The sequence below is a fragment of the Homo sapiens genome, chromosome 10 (genome assembly GCF_000001405.40).
Source record: "Homo sapiens chromosome 10, GRCh38.p14 Primary Assembly".
NCBI classification, from domain to species: domain Eukaryota; kingdom Metazoa; phylum Chordata; class Mammalia; order Primates; family Hominidae; genus Homo; species Homo sapiens.
The window spans coordinates 131,133,855-131,149,111 of record NC_000010.11 but is presented as its reverse complement, the minus strand read 5'-3'; the positions used below and the strand labels follow the sequence as shown (position 1 = coordinate 131,149,111).

Sequence of the window (15,257 nt, the reverse complement as noted above, 5' to 3'; positions counted from 1 at the left end):
GGCATGAGGCCACCAGCGAGGGGAGGCGACCTTCTCAGGGTCACCTGGTAGGTCAAGGGCAGGGCTGGAGCTGGAAAGTTTGCCAGGCAGAAGGGCAGGTCATATTCTCCCACATGGATGACCAGGCCAGCTGTGGCCAAGGCCTCCAGGCACAACACTTGGGGTTCAGGTCAGGGCTCCCAGATGCTGGTGCTCAGGACAGAGTCGCCCCGAGGGGGAAGCCCATTGATTCGTCTCCCACAGACTCAGGGCTCCAGCGACACACATTGATTCTCTTACAGTTGGGAGGATCAGAAGTCTGACACAGGTCTCACTGGGCGAAAGTCAAGGTGTGGGCAGGGCTGGATCCTTCTGGAGCCTATGGGGAGGTCCATTTCCTGCCTTTTCCATCTTCCAGAGGCCCCTGCAACCCTGAGCTCGTGATTCCTTTCTCCAGCCTCAAGGCCAGGCATCTCCCGATCTCTGTCTCTCCGTGTGTGTGTGCATGTGTGTCTCTGTGTGTGTCTACGTGTGCATGTGTGTCTGTGTGTCTGTATTTGTGTGTATGTGTGTTTCTCTGCATGTGTGTGTCTCTGTGCATGTGTATATGTGTGCATTTGTGTCCCTTTGTGTGTGTATATATGTGTGCATGTGTCTGTGTATGTGTCTGTGTGTGTTTATGTGTGTATCTCTGCATGTGTGTGTCTCTGTGTGCATGTGTGTCTCTGTATATCTGTGTGTTTATGTGTGTGTCTCTATGTCTGTGTGCATGTGTGTCTCTGTGTGTCTGTTTGTGTGTATGTGTGTTTGTGTGTGTCTCTGAGAGTGTGTTTGTGTGAAACACCTCTGCCTCCATCTTCCTATCTCTTCCTCACTGATCTTCCCACCTCCCTCTTAGAAGGACCCTTGTGATTACATTTGGGGCCACCTGAATGACCAGGCTATTCCCCCATCTCAGGGTCCTAATCCCAACTGTACAGACCCTTTGCCATGTAAGGTGATGCACACCTGTTCTAGGGATCAGGACGTGGACGTCTTTGGAGCCATCATTTTGGCTCCCACACTCATGAGCGTGGCTGGGCTGAGTAGTGGAGCCGGCACACCTTCTCAGGGTGATTTCTGGGAGGGGTCCTGGTCTGCCCAGGGTTGCCAACATGCAGGGCCCCAGGCCCTGAGCCCTCTGCCTGGCCCATGGAACGTGCCTGGGTGAGTGAAGTGTGGAGTGATTTTCTGCATGCAGAACAGAGTGGCTTCTTTTGGCACGAATCCCCAGCTCCTCCCGAACCTGTGCGAGGCTGGCGGGAGTGAGGCGTGAGTGGGCTACCGGGGGCCTAGGCCGTGCCCGACAGTACCCCCAACAGGTCGGGGGCCTCCCTCGGGGAAGTCAATAGCTAGAGGTGGGTATGTGGGTGTTCCCACCCATTCACTCCTGCACATCTGAAAAGTCCCAGGAGACTTGCGGAGCCAGAGGGACCTTCTGAAGTCACTGCAGGAAGCCGAGGCCCAGAGAGGGGAGGGGGCTTGCCCCAGGGGAACCTCCTGGGAGGTCCACACCTGGAACGGGCCTCGGTGCCAGCACAGGCCTCAATCTCTAATAGCACCCTGACACGACTTAGGGGTTAAACCCAGAGCCCCGGCCGGCCTTGCTGGCCTTTATCTGCCGCGCTTGCTCGTGGGGACAGCGCGGGGTCAGAGTGTCAGAGTGCAGAGTCTCCCGTGCACCTCCATGCCGCAGGCTCCCGGACCCGCATTCCTTAGGGAGGGACTTTTTTCCTTTCCTTCCCTCTCATTAATTTTCTTCTCTTCATTTTTTTTTCTTTTTAATCTTTTCTGATAACTTTTCACAGATAAGGGGCTTAAAAAGGGCACATAATTCCTTTTAGATGTCTTCAGTTTCCATAAATGAAAATACAAATCTTCCTTATTTGCCCATCCACAAATGAGCAGGACACCGGGGCTGTGGTTGCTAATGACAGCAGCCCTTTTAATTCTGCTGCTGCCGGAGGGTAATGACCTGTGGCCGTGCGCATTGCTTGATGGCCATGCAGAGCTCAACTGGGGAAGTGTAGGGAGCCGCTCTCCGAATTACTCTATTGCCGGAACCAGGGCCAGGAGGCGCCCCAGAGTGCTCTGCATCTGGAATGGAATTTCACTGAGGCAGTGACAGCTGGTGGGCTGGAGAGAGCTCTGCCTGCCTGTGACCTTGATGAGCTGCTTGGCTTCTCTGAATGTTGTTGTTCTCCCTGGTCTAAGGCTGGTGATAAGAATGTCTACCTGTTAATCAAATGAGTCAGATCCGTAAGGTCACCTAAAAAGGCAGGCTTTGTCTTTAGTATTCATACTATCCATAAACAAGCTTTGCAAATGTGTGGATTTCGGTCCTGAGGGGCTTTTTCAGTGAGAGTTCATGCTAACGACTTTCTAATTAAGTGTCTCCGAGAGCGACTGAGATGAGTTTTTCCACTCAAACAGGTGTGTGGTCTGGACGGGCGATGACCGAGTTTTCTTCTTCAACCCAACGATGCACCTGTCTGTCTGGGAGAAGCCCATGGACCTGAAGGACCGCGGAGACCTCAACAGGATCATTGAGGACCCGCCCCACAAACGCAAGCTGGAGGCACCAGCAAGTAACTAAGCCCTGGGTTATTTACACCTCCTTTGAAGTGTTTAAGCTGCTTATTTCTAATGAACGTAAAGTGAAAGCATGTTTCTTCTTGGTTATGTTGAAAATTGACTATTAAGGAATCCTGTGCCCGATTGCAGAGTTTAGTAATCAAGTTTTTATGGCACTTCCTGCAGAAACCTTGATCCTTCCAAGCGGTCGGCTCTGGCTGTCTTTTTGCATCACGTAAGGTGATTAACGCAGAGATGGCCATTCATTCCCTCCGCCCCTCAAAGCTTCCATCCAGCATCACTGTTACCCAGCATTTTATTCTTGTTCCAAATGTCTTATGAACGCCACTTCAGAGACCAGATGTACGCAGATGGGAGTGTGTTTTCTTCCACCTTACATTCACTTTAGACCTTTGCAGCACATTGATCTGCTGTTGTGCTTGGATGGATGCCTCAATTCCATAAAACCCTGGTCACGGACAGGGGAAGAGATTTTCTTCAGCTGCAGAGGAATGGGGTGCTTGGCAGAGGCAGTTGTTTCTGACAATGCCTGTAAATCTTGTTTCGCCAAGAAACAGAGAGGAACTTTCAGCATTTTCACAAAGGATCTTTTCCGATTAGATCTAATACATATTTTATTAGCTGCTGCGTGGGGAAAGCCCTCCTCCCAGAGCATGTGGATTCAAACGGTCTTGACTCCACTGCAGACATTTGAGAGCAGGAGCTCCCTGCCAACTTGAGAGGCAGAGATGCCTGGCTACAAGGCCAGGCCAGTGAAAGGGGAGCTTGACTCTTTGTTTTAGTTTTGTGTGGTATTCTATTGGGTTCTTAGTGGCATTTTTAATTTCACGTCATTGAGGGCTAATGCTAGATGATGGTAATTCACACTTTGTGTCAAATCCAGAGGTATTTGACTGAAGCTTCAGAAGACAGTATTATAAAAGTTTTATCAGCATTTTTAACCATGCTAAGAGACATGGTGGTAGTCTTTTAAGATTGAGACATCACACATTTAAAATGTTTATTCCATTTAAAATAGTAACAGCATTATCCAGAGACTGGATCAACTGATGTTGGGAAAAGAAAAATCTCCAAGGTCCATATGGAGTTGAGTCTGTAAAACGTTGCTGTATTTACAGACAATGAAGATTGAATTTGGCAATTGCATTTCCTCCTTTGATCAGGTCACATTCATTATTAAAAGAGGGCCTTGTACGTCTTGAAAGAGTGCTTTAAAATCATGACAGGAAGCACCCTTTCAAGGTTCTTACTCATGGACAAGAAGATGGTGCACAGTTTAGGGAAATCAGGACACCCTCAGATCCCACGGGAAACATTAAGGCACAGTTTGTCCTAACAATGATTTTATTTGCTTGGCAAAGGCAGATCATGCTGGCAGATTCCTCACTCCTTTCTTTAGCTTGCGTTCTTGTAGATAATTTGGTGCTGTTTCATTTTTCCCTCCCAAAATTGGTAGTAATGAGAAACAAATGAACTTATTAAAGGCAATGCATAGTTGCTCTCTCATTTCTATTGTTTGGACCAAATCAGGTCAGGTCTGAAAAGAGGTAGGGAGGCATCTGCAAACGCCCCCACTGGGCCACCTGCGGTCTCAGGGCTCGCCAGGACTGTGGGTGGACGACAGGGGCCTGGATTTCCTGGCTCATAGCTCGATGCTCCGTCTCCTTCTTTTAACAAGAATCTCATGTTATACTCTGAAAGGTAGAGAGTTAAGGTTTTACAACCAGAAATACCTGATTAGTTTAGATTTAGCATGATATGGTATTTTGTCTGATACCCATTTTATTATGGTAGACCTAAGTACTCTACTTAGACATTACAAAATTACATGTGGTTATAAAACGATTTTTAATCTTACTTCCCTCCTCATATAAAGAGAGGAAGAGATTTGTTTTCAACCAGTCTTTTTTTTTTTAACCTGAATCTTAAGGATATGCAAATGACTTCGATTCTCAACTTCCGGTTGCCAGGGTGCAGTTGATGTTTAAGAGAACAACTTCCCATTCCCGAAAATGCACTCAGAGAGCTTCGCAGCGACACAATTAGGACAGGAGGTGTTTCTAGAGGGTTAATTCGTGATCGGGGAGCAGAGCTGATGACCTGCAACCAGCAGCAGTGACTGGCATTCTCCCTGGCCGATCGTTCGTCGCGGCTCGTCAGATATTTAACCCTAATTATGATAACAAGCCTAGGGGAGATGGTTTGAGTGGAGAGTTTTGTTTTTCACATTTTGTTTGACTATTAGTCATTGTAGATTTGAATATATTCATACCTATTTGTAGTCTGCAATGGGACAATTAAGCATTTCAGTCGACATCCATTATTTTTCAAGAGGCAAATGAAGTAGAAGAATTTTGTAACATGGCTGCCACATTTAACTGCTCTTAGGTCTCGGGAGCGTGTGTGTATGTGTGAGCGTGTGTGCCTGCGTGTGCGTGTGTCTTCAGTGGGGATAGGAGACGTGGAAGTTGTGGCTCACAGTGCCAGGCAGCTGTGGGAGACAGGAGGCAGCGCCTCCAGAAGTGCTGAGACGTTCGTCATTCCACAGATAAGGAAAGAGTCCGCTTTGTCATTCTGTTAGCACTGCTGAAGGATTCCAGCAAAGTCTTGAATTATTTTCTAATTACCTTGCGGTGCATCCAGATTTTTTATAGCTGTAGTAACTGTGTTGTTAGTTGAGAATAAATGCCAGTAGAGCTGGAGGAAAATGAGAAGTGCCAGGCTTCACCCCCAGCCCCATCCGTTCCGTGCCATGCGGTTCTCGGGGATCTTACCAACACTTCAGTTTGGAGGGTGCTGGTGTGTTGTGTTCCCACCCGTGCCCGCGTTTCCCAGGCCTGTCAGAGGCGTGGTTCTCTCGCTGTCTTCGCCTGCAGCAGCCAAACCCTCTCTTGGTAGTGACGGCAGAAACCCCCCTGCCATCTGGCTGTGCACCTGTAGCCCCACCACCTTGGCCCGCTCTGCTTGCTTTGGCCACGGGGGCCACCTGTCACTTCACTGGGACATTTGGTGCAGCCTGGTGGGAATTGTTGGAGCTGGGGCCCTCGAGTTCTTCCTCTGGGTTGGAGGGAGGAGAGGCGAGGGAGAGAGAGGGAATACATACCCTGGCCTCTTTCCTCCTGCCTGGCTGTCTCTGTTAGTGCCTCCAAGGGGTCGAGGAGGACCCGGAGCCCTGGGGTAAGAAGTGAAGAGAGGGCCTTCTCACTGCCTTGGAGAGGGGAGGGACCGCCTGCAGGGACCCTGGGTGCGTGCAACCCCCACACTTGGTTCCGTGGACTTCCCTCCTCAGTCCCATGCAGTAGGTGCCATCAGCATTGGAGACCCCTTTGCTGCTGTAACAAATTATCACCACGAGGCTAAAAGCCACACAAGGTGATGATCTTACAGTTCTGGAGGGCAGACGTCGAGCAGAGGCCTCACTGGCATCGGCAGGGCTGTGTTCTTCCTAGGGGATCCAGGGGAGATTTCCTTGACTCCTGGCCCCCTCGTCCATCTTGCCTCTCTCTCTTCTCTCTCTGGCTCTGGCCCTTCTGCCTCCCGCTCCCACTCTGAAGGGTCCCTGTGGTCTATGGGGCCACCTGGATGACAGGATGGTCTCTCACCTCAAGGGGAGCTGTTTAGCAACCTCCATCCTTTCTGCCAGGTAGTCCAGTGTATGCACACCTTCCAGGATTCAGATGTGGACATTGCTTGGGAATGGTGGGGGGCATGAATCTGTGGCCCGTGCCTGCTTTACAGAAGAGGGAATTTAAAAAGGAGCTTATCTGACTTGCCCAGGGCCACACCTCTACTGAAGGGGAATGGGGATTTGCACCCCGGCGGGTCTGATGCCAGACCTGAGGGCAGCCTGTGATGGACACAGGTGACTCTTGGTGCGAGCTCACCAGGCAGCAGCTGCAGCAGCCGTGCACTCAACACTGTCCTTCCCTAGTCTGCGGGCAGATGACATGAACCTCACTGGGCTTAATTGCTCTGTAAACGCTTTAGCCATTTATATTCAAGACCAATGTAAATTGATAATGACATTCATTTCACCAAGTAGGATGTAAAATTGTCCGGTGAGTAAACACAGCTGTGACTGGTGAATGGGTCACTTTCCTGAGTTTGTCAGAGAAGACAGCGCACACTGGATCTATCTCACCAGGGGCCCAGGCAGCCGGGGCACTTGGGGGGACCCAGGGCCGCTGAAAACACAAATGCCAGAGCCCTGGAGGGTGGTGAGCTAGTGTGGTTCTGTCTGTGAGGATTCAGGGCGATGTGGGAGGCTCTGCCCACCTGGATCCCACCTGCCCCAGGCTCTCTGGGAGAAATCCTGGCCTTCGTATCATGGCACCCTCTGCTGGCCTCCAGGGCCTGAGCCGCCTCTTTGCACAATGAATGATCCAGGTGGCTTGTTTGCTAAGCTCCATTGTAGTGCCCACTTTGTTTAGTCTCTGTAACGTGATGCCAAGGTGAAGCAGGTGAACTGCGACAGGTGTCTCTTCCTTGCAGAATCCTGAGTTGACTGTGCAGAAAGTCGAGTGTGAGGGTGGAGCTTGCAGGGCAGCCGGTGCAAGGGAAGGGGTGAGCTGGGATGTGCGGGAGCTGGGAGAGTCTCTAGGACACTCTGATCACACTCACCCCTCAGCTTGCTGTGTTTGGCCTCAGCTGGGAGGCTGGGTGGGCAGGGCAGGGGCTGAGCCAGGCTCCTGGATGCACCAGTGAATTTGGTGGAGAAAGAGAGATGCTAGAATAGCGTTTTTCGGAGTAGTTTCCGCCAGGACCTAAGACATCAAGCCACCAACCACCTCCAGGGCCAGGAGCAAAGGAAAGAAAGGGAAGGGAGGGGAAGTTGGAAAGGAGGGAGGGGAAGTTGGAAAGGAGGAAAGGAAAGGAGAGAAGGGAGGGAGCAAGGGAAGGGAGGGAGGAGAGGAAGTTCCTTTTCTTCTGAACCAATCCTTTATTTAGGGACTGGTGACTGGCCAAGCACTGGGCTAGACACAGGACGCCAAAGATGAGCAGATGTTGGGCAGGGAGCGCTATGCCTTGTGGGTTGGGGAAGAGAAGCAAGCAACAATGGATGGGTGGAGTGGGGTGACCCCGCGCAGCAGCCAGGGGCTTCTCCCTGAGGCACGGTCACTCACACTGGACCCCAGGAGGCAGGGAGGGGAGGTAAAGGGTGTGTTTTGAGCTCTAAGGCAGGAGGAAGAAGGTGCGCTTGAGTCTGAGCTGAGAGGGATGGAGGATGGCTGTCTGGGGACAGTGAGCCTCAAAGAGTGGAAGGCTCGGGGAAGCCCTGCAGAGATCACAGCACCCGTGGTGTGGCATTTCCAAGTGGCCACGGAGAGGTTCCCCATTATGATTATTGACCAAATCTAGAACTTCCTCCCTGAGTTTCAGCTGGGAGCCCAGGCCTAGCAAAGCAAAGTGGCCGTGTCAGGTCCATCTCCTATTCGGGGTAGTTGCAGCTCTGCTGCGGCTCTTTCTATCCCTAAACTCCACACCCATCAAATTTCTCTCATAAGCAGGATGCAATCTAGGAATACAGAGAAGTCCAGTTTCAGCATCTGTGAGCACCTGGCTGGACCTGTTGGTGGAGTGGGGTGGATCAAACCCGGCCCCTGCACAGCCAGGCCTCTTGCCCTCCAGTGCAGGCGGCACCTCCACCACCTCTCCTGGCAGGAGCTCAGCCCACAGGACCCTGCTGCCCTGAGTCATGTGCCTTGCCCTCTCCACCAAGGGCTCCGGCTCTCCATCTCGTCCTGGTGCCCGCCCTTGTTTGCCTCCTGGGCATCCCTCGCACCGCTGCCTGCCTGTGGATGAGTTCTGGCCCAGTCCCTGCAAGGTGCTCTCTGGGGTCTTGGCCCGTGCAGGAGGACCCCCCACTGTGCCCCTCTTCGTGCCCAGGAAAGCCACAGTCCTGGGAGAACACTGACTTCTCCACAAAGATGCTGAGCCTGAGTGCTGCCTAGATGGGGGGGACCTGAGGTTAAGGCGTGACCTGGGGTTCACATCCAACTCACAGGGTTGAGTGCAACTGTTCTGGGGAGGGAGGATGACACTACCTTCTAACCTACCAAGCCCCATCCTCCTCAGGACTCAGGATCCGAGCGAGTAGGGTAGGACATCGGACAGGATGCGGAGCAGGAGGCCCCATCAGAGAGGGCAGAGCACACAGCTCAGGGCCACTGGGCAGCAGGGTCCTGTGGGGCTGAGCTCCTGCCAGGAGCAGGGGTGGGGGTATCACCTGCACCGGAGGTGAGAGGCCTGGCTGTGCAGGGGCTGGGTCCACCAGCAGGTCCAGCCAGGCACCCACAGGTACCAAAACTGGACCTCTCTGTATTCGTAGGGTGCATTCTGCGTATGAGAGAAATGTGATGAGTGGGAAGTTTAGGCGTGCCTAGGATCCCATCTGAATGCGAATTTGCCTTACACACCAACATTCAGCTCCTGTGATTCCATAGTAAGTTTTACCAAAGGTTGTGCCTACCCTCTCTAAGAAGACTGACAAAATTAGGTATATTCCCCACCACTCACAGAAAGGAAGACATTTGACTCAGAGACTCAGGACTTTTACTACCTGATGCAGCCAGCCACATTCCCTGAACTCAGTGACTTACAAACACACTCAGACACACACACAAATGCATATATACACGCACAGACACATACACAGAGACACACACAGATGCATACACATACACACACATATACGCACACAGACACACAAGCACACACAGACACACATATACATACAGAAACACACATGTACACATACAGACACATACACAGGCACACATACACACAGACACACACACACACACACACAGACACACACACACATATGCATAGCCTTGCTGGCAAATGCATAAAAAACAATACATTTAAAACATACATAGATATTGGTGTGTGTGCATTAATAAAACATGTTAGAGATTGACATGCTGCTGCACAAACATGTTAGAGATTGACATGCTGCTGCACGCTGTCTGCACCGCACCTGTAATGCGTCTTGGCTATCTTTCAGACTCAGAGCCTCCCTGCCTCCCGCACCCAGTTCCCTCTCCCTCCAATCCCCTGCTTTTCTCTCCTATCCATCTCCTGTCCCCCTACCCTTGCCCTGTCTGGATGCATGATGACTTCCTCAGAGCCTCCTCTTGGATGGACATCTGGGTCATGTGCTTTGTGCTCCCACACACAGTGCTGGAAAGAACATCTTTGTACCTAGGTTTTTACCTTAGGAGTGTTTCTGCAAACATATCGATTGTGTAATTTCACATTATTAGAATTGTTGGCTCAAAAGGTACGTGCATTTTCGATTTTGGGCAGGTACTGCCGAATCTTCTCCCAAAGAGACTGATCAGTTCACACTTGTACTGGTAGATTCTGCATGATCTCCTTAGCACTGTAGAGCATGAGACTTAATTCTTAAAGCCATTCTTTGCTTCAGTTGGCATTGCTTTAATTTTGAGTGAAATTGAACAGTTTTTCACAGGTTTGCTGGCCATTTGTTTTGTGTTTGTGTTCCTTATCTTTCTTATTGAGTTACTTGGACTTGAAGATCAAGGCTAACAGTGTTTGGCTACAATATTATTATAATATTTTACTGGTCTTTCGATTTTTTTGCCATAGAACAAGTTGTCCTTGATTTTTTTTCTCACTGTGGTAAAATATATATAACATGAAGCTGACCGTTTAACCATGTGTAAATGTACAATTCAGTGGCGTTCAGTATGTTCACAATGTTGGAGAGCTGTCAACACTACCTATTTCTACAACTCTTTTCTCACCCATAGCAGAAACTCTGCAATGATGAAGCAGTGTCACAACGATTTTCCCCTTATGTTTTCTTCAACAACCCTTATACTTGTAACTTGTACAGTTAACTCCGTTTGCATTAATTTTTACACATGGACTTCTTCAGGGATGATTTCTATCAAATATCTTTTATCAGATGAATTGGCCCTACTTTCCTGGTTTTGCATGCTTTTGAGTTTTTTGTTGAAAAGTAGATATGCTAGGCATTGTAATGGGGCAACTTTGGTGGAAATCAGATTCTCTCACTTCCCAGAGATCGCTGATGTGGGCTTGTGCAGGCTGGAGCCATCCATGTGTGATGCCCCTGAAGCCTGTATTCCTCACCGTGTGTGGTGACTGAAGATTCTGTTCCCTTGTCTTTGCAGTCAGCAGAGAATGGCAGCCTCTCTAGTGCTATTCTTTATTTTTCGGTATTATTATTTGAGACAGAGTTTCACTCTGTCACACAGGCTGGAGTGCAGTGGCGCCATCTTGGCTGACTACAGAGTTCAAAAAATTGAACTCTCCCGGGTTCAAAAAATTCTCCTGCCTCAGCCTCCTGAGTAGCTGAGATTACAGACATGTGCCACCACACCCGGCTAATTTTTGTATTTTTGGTAGAGACGGGGTTTCACCATGTTGGCCAGGCTGGTCTCGAACTCCTGACCTCAGGTGATCTGCCCACCTCTGCGTCCCAAAGTGCTGGGATTACAGACATAAGCCATCGCACTCAGCCTCTAGCATGATTGTTACACCAGCCCTAGCTGTTGTAAGTGTCTGATCTGCTTCCAGAGAGCTGAAATACTTACTTCTAATCCCCCTACAGCTTGACGGCAGTCTTGGTGGAGACCCAACCAGAGAGCTTGCTATGCTGCCGTTGTGCACGGCAACCCCTCTGGTTTTGTATTCTCTAAGTCTGTTAAATTTATACATATTTTTGTTTATGAGTCTGGATCATAATTAGGAAAGCTTTGCCCATGTTGAAACTATTCAAAACAAACCAATGTTTAAAACCCTAAAAAATTACCAATATTATACACATGTACTTTAAATAATATGTGTGTAATTGCATGACCTCATTTTTTAAGTTTTAAGAAATGTGGATGTTTCCCCCGTGGCCTCCCTGGGTACGTTCTGGTGTGGGTGGAGGAGAGGTGCCACTCCCATGCCTTCTTCCAGGCAGAGCTGGAATGCTCCCTCCCCTGGACACGGCAGGCAGGAGGCACACCTTGGAAAAGATTTCAAACGCCACGAGGTGCAGAAAGGCAGTCAGGCGGAGGGCCCGGGGAGTTGAGAGAGCCTCTGTGAGGCCCCGGTGCCTCCGAATGAGACGGCCAGAAGGCCCAGTGACGCAGGGAGGAACGACCAGGAGGGACCAGGGAGAAGCCAGGGCACCAGGGAGGGAAAACCGGGAGGGCACAGTGAGAGCTCGGGACCCAGCGCCCCAGCGGGAGAGGACTCAGGGGCACAGCCGAGGAGTACTGCACTTCCTTAGAGGGTGTTGGGGTGGAGAGGCTGAGGCAGGGAGCAGGGTGCCCAGGGTGCCCTCGGTTTTTTGTTTGTTTGTTTGTTTGTTGTTTTTTGAGACAGAGTTTTGATCTTTCACCCAGGCTGGAGTGCAGTGGCACAATCGCGGCTCACTGCAACCTCTGCCTTCTGTTTTCAAGTGATTCTCCTGCCTCAGCCTCCTGAGTAGCTGGGATTATAGGCACCTGCCACCACACCCGGCTAATTTTTATATTTTTAGTAGAAACGAGGTTTCACCATGTTGGCCAGGCTGGTCTCGAACTCCTGACCTCATGATCCACCCACCTCTGCCTCCCAAAGTGCTGGGATTACAGGCGTGAGCCACTGTGCCTGCCCAGTGCCCTCAGTTTGAATGGGAAGAGCAGGTTCCCACAGCCAGGAAGTAGAAATGCCTGGAGGTGGCCCGGCATGGTGGCTCACGCCTGTAATCCCAGCATTATGGAAGGCTGAGGGGGGCGAATCACTTGGGGTCAGGAGTTCAAGACCAACCTGGCCAACATGGTAAAACCCTGTCTCTACTAAAAACACAAAAATTAGCCTGGTGTGGTGGCGGGTGCCTGTGATTCCAGCTGCTCGGGAGGCTGAGGCAGGAGAATTGCTTGAGCCCGGAAAGTGGAGGTTGCAGTGAGCCGAGATCGCACCACTGTACTCCAGCCTGGGTGACAGGCTGAACATGGAGAGCCTCTGAGGGCGGGCCTGGGCGAGGCACTGCTGGGGGCCACCCCTCCCTGGGGCAGCAGCCACGGAGGTGGCCCCAGTCTCATGGTTTCCTCTCAAGAACATGACGTAGAAGTGCTCACCCCAGGCCCTCGTCCTGAAGCTGGGCAGAGCGAGACTCCGTCTCAAAAAAAACCAGAAATGCCTGGAGGTGCTGGGCTTGGCACGAGTGAAGCTTGGGAAGCAGGGGGCATAAAGTGTGTCCTTTGGGGTCCCAGCCTGGAGGGCTGTGTTGGGCTGTGGAGCACGCGCAGAAGGCAGCCAGAGAGGAGGAAGTGGATACCCTCCAGTGTCCTCTCTTCCCTTCCATGGCCCCCCAGTTATTATCAATGGTGTTGGCTCTAGACCAGTGGCTCTCAACTGGGGAGGGCAAATTTACCCCTGTGGACATTTGGGAACTTCTGGAGGCATTTTCGTTAGCATGGTGGGGAGGGGGCAGGGATCAAGGAGGCTGAGAGACGCCTTCAGGGCACAGGGCGGCCCCCAGGGCACAGCAGTCCAGCTCCGGAGTCAGCACTGCCAGGTTCAGGACCAGGGGCCGCTGAAAAGCCAGGAAGCTCCGCCCGGGCTGTGGCTCCTCCGCCCTTCCGGGGCCAAGTTCTGCTCATCCCCCGCTCTGCACTGCCCATGGGAATTCCTTCCTCCTAGGCCTACATCCTTTCAGAAGGGTGGAGCACCCACACAGGGTGTGCATGATGGATACTGCAGCCTTGCTGGAAGGTACAGGGCAGATACATTGCACCCCGGTCCCGCTACAGCAGCCTCTGTGGTCCTGTGGCTCGTGGGCAGGGGTGACCATGAGCTGCCTGGGCAGCTCAGGTGGCGGAGGCCCCACAAGGATGATGCAGCATGACTGGGATGAGCCGGGGCTTCCAGAGCCTGACCCTCTCCTCTTACCAAGGGCCCCACGCTGCACATTGAAAAGAAGCCTGTAAATAGATTTGAACTGTGAGCTGGTAACAGAGCCATTATTGGGATTCTAAAAACAGGTGTAGGGAGAATTGTCGGGTTTTATAGAAAGAAAATGTGCAGAGGCCCCTGCGATTGTTGAAACTGATGTCTTTTCTCATCAACTCTGGGCTCATCCTGAGCTGAGCGCTGTTTTCATCGCAGACCCTCCCAGGAAGGAGGTGCAGGCTCAGCGGTCACTGGGAAGGTGGCCCAAGGCTGGATGGGAAGATGGAGGGAAGCTCTGCCCAGCCCAGACTAGTTCAGCCTAGCCCAGCCCAGCTCAGTTGGCCACCCAAGCTGGGCGGGGCGGAATAAGCCAGAGGTAGACACAGAATGAGAAGCAGGTGATGCTTCTCTACCAAAAATACAAAAATTTTTGGTCTGGATGACACTCCAGACCATCTGCACGCTTATCTTTCCTCTTCCCTCCTGGAGAACCACAGGAAACACCAAAGCACCTTTTTACTTTTTCATTCCAAAAGTTCATCAAACGTTTTCAGGGCTGACTGCCTCAGAATGGAAATAAGGGATCATGTCTTCAAAATCAATTTGGCTTTTGGAAGTAGATGGGCGTCCATAGTGAGGCATGGCCACATGTGGGGTAGGGGAATCTCGTTATCTGTTGCAGTGGATGGAGAGGAGCTGAGCGTGGGCCTGTTGGAGGTGCTGCTGGGGGCCACCCTTCCCTGGGGCAGTGGCCGCAGAGGTGGCCCCGGTCTCATGGTTCCCTCTCAAGAACATGACATAGATTTGCTCATTCCCAGGCCTCGTCTTGAGGCTGAGCAGAGGCCCACCTGTAATTCTCCACCCCCCAGCCCCTCTGGAAGGCCCAGCACCTGCTAAACAGACAGTCTCTAAAGAGGACCTCTCTGCAGAACAGCACAGTCAGATTTCTGTTCTGCTGAAATGTAAAAGCATGTGTGCCAAGAGGAAACTCGTAGGATTTCACATCAATCTTTAAGAGAAGCCTGTTGTCTTAATTTCTAGATAAGTCTACTTGAAAGTGAGTGTCACCTGGTGGTTTTGCCAAAGCCCTGAGCTCTGACAACTCTAACCCTGTTCATCTGATTTTCTTTCAGCTGACAACAGCGATGGGTCCAGTTCTGAAGACAACAGGGAAGACCAAGATGTGAAAACCAAGAGGAACCGGTAGGTGGCCGTGCTCTTCCCCAGCAGATCTTTCCCTACTGTGTACTCAGGTGGTGTAGAAAGAAAAGGCATCATTTTGACCACATTGACTATGAGCAAAGAGCTAATTCAACCGCTAGACAGATGGTAAGAGGTTTCAGGTTCTGTCTTAGCAGTGTCCTGGGCACCTGCCGAAGCAGGTATCTCGGAGGCTTGGGGCACTTCAGACACTGTACACAGGGCCTGCCACCCCCAGCCTACCCAGGCGCCCACATGCTCAGCCCTGCTGTGTTTCCAGAGTCCTGTAGGAGTGGTCATGGGGGCCAGGTGCATAGGAGGTGCCATGTGCTGTGTCAGAGGTTGAGTTTAGGGGTCAGGCAGCCCTGGCTTGGTGCTGCAGCTCTATGTCTTGCCTGCTGGATGACTTTGGGCAAAGTCAGCCAACCCTGATCTCAGATTTCTCATGTATAAGATGAGGCTTTGCAGAGGCCCCAGTGGGTGTTGGGACAGGTGGAGGAGATGATGCCTGCATTCCTGCAGGGTGC

General features: G+C 51.3%; 1 protein-coding gene across 2 annotated transcripts in view, besides 4 other annotated features; it reads left to right on the top strand.

Moving 5' to 3' along the window:
- The window catches only part of TCERG1L (transcription elongation regulator 1 like), a 219,331-nt gene that overhangs the window by 162,610 nt on the left and 41,464 nt on the right, over positions 1–15,257 (top strand). For both annotated transcript variants that reach the window (NM_174937.4, XM_047424966.1), the window contains 2 exons: positions 2,452–2,606; positions 14,664–14,733. In NM_174937.4, the coding sequence (NP_777597.2) occupies positions 2,452–2,606; positions 14,664–14,733 (225 nt within the window). The remainder of the gene's footprint in view (positions 1–2,451; positions 2,607–14,663; positions 14,734–15,257) is intronic.
- Positions 1,461–1,962: an enhancer, noted in NCBI's record as "H3K4me1 hESC enhancer chr10:132945413-132945914 (GRCh37/hg19 assembly coordinates)". NCBI's record gives its function as "activates a minimal SCP1, AML or CMV promoter by ChIP-STARR-seq in primed H9 embryonic stem cells {active_cell/tissue: H9 hESC(primed)}" and the evidence as "EXISTENCE:reporter gene assay evidence [ECO:0000049][PMID:30033119]".
- Positions 5,064–5,564: an enhancer, noted in NCBI's record as "H3K4me1 hESC enhancer chr10:132941811-132942311 (GRCh37/hg19 assembly coordinates)". NCBI's record gives its function as "activates a minimal SCP1, AML or CMV promoter by ChIP-STARR-seq in naive H9 embryonic stem cells {active_cell/tissue: H9 hESC(naive)}" and the evidence as "EXISTENCE:reporter gene assay evidence [ECO:0000049][PMID:30033119]".
- Positions 7,373–8,254: an enhancer, noted in NCBI's record as "H3K4me1 hESC enhancer chr10:132939121-132940002 (GRCh37/hg19 assembly coordinates)". NCBI's record gives its function as "activates a minimal SCP1, AML or CMV promoter by ChIP-STARR-seq in naive H9 embryonic stem cells {active_cell/tissue: H9 hESC(naive)}" and the evidence as "EXISTENCE:reporter gene assay evidence [ECO:0000049][PMID:30033119]".
- Positions 13,025–13,745: an enhancer, noted in NCBI's record as "H3K27ac-H3K4me1 hESC enhancer chr10:132933630-132934350 (GRCh37/hg19 assembly coordinates)". NCBI's record gives its function as "activates a minimal SCP1, AML or CMV promoter by ChIP-STARR-seq in primed H9 embryonic stem cells {active_cell/tissue: H9 hESC(primed)}" and the evidence as "EXISTENCE:reporter gene assay evidence [ECO:0000049][PMID:30033119]".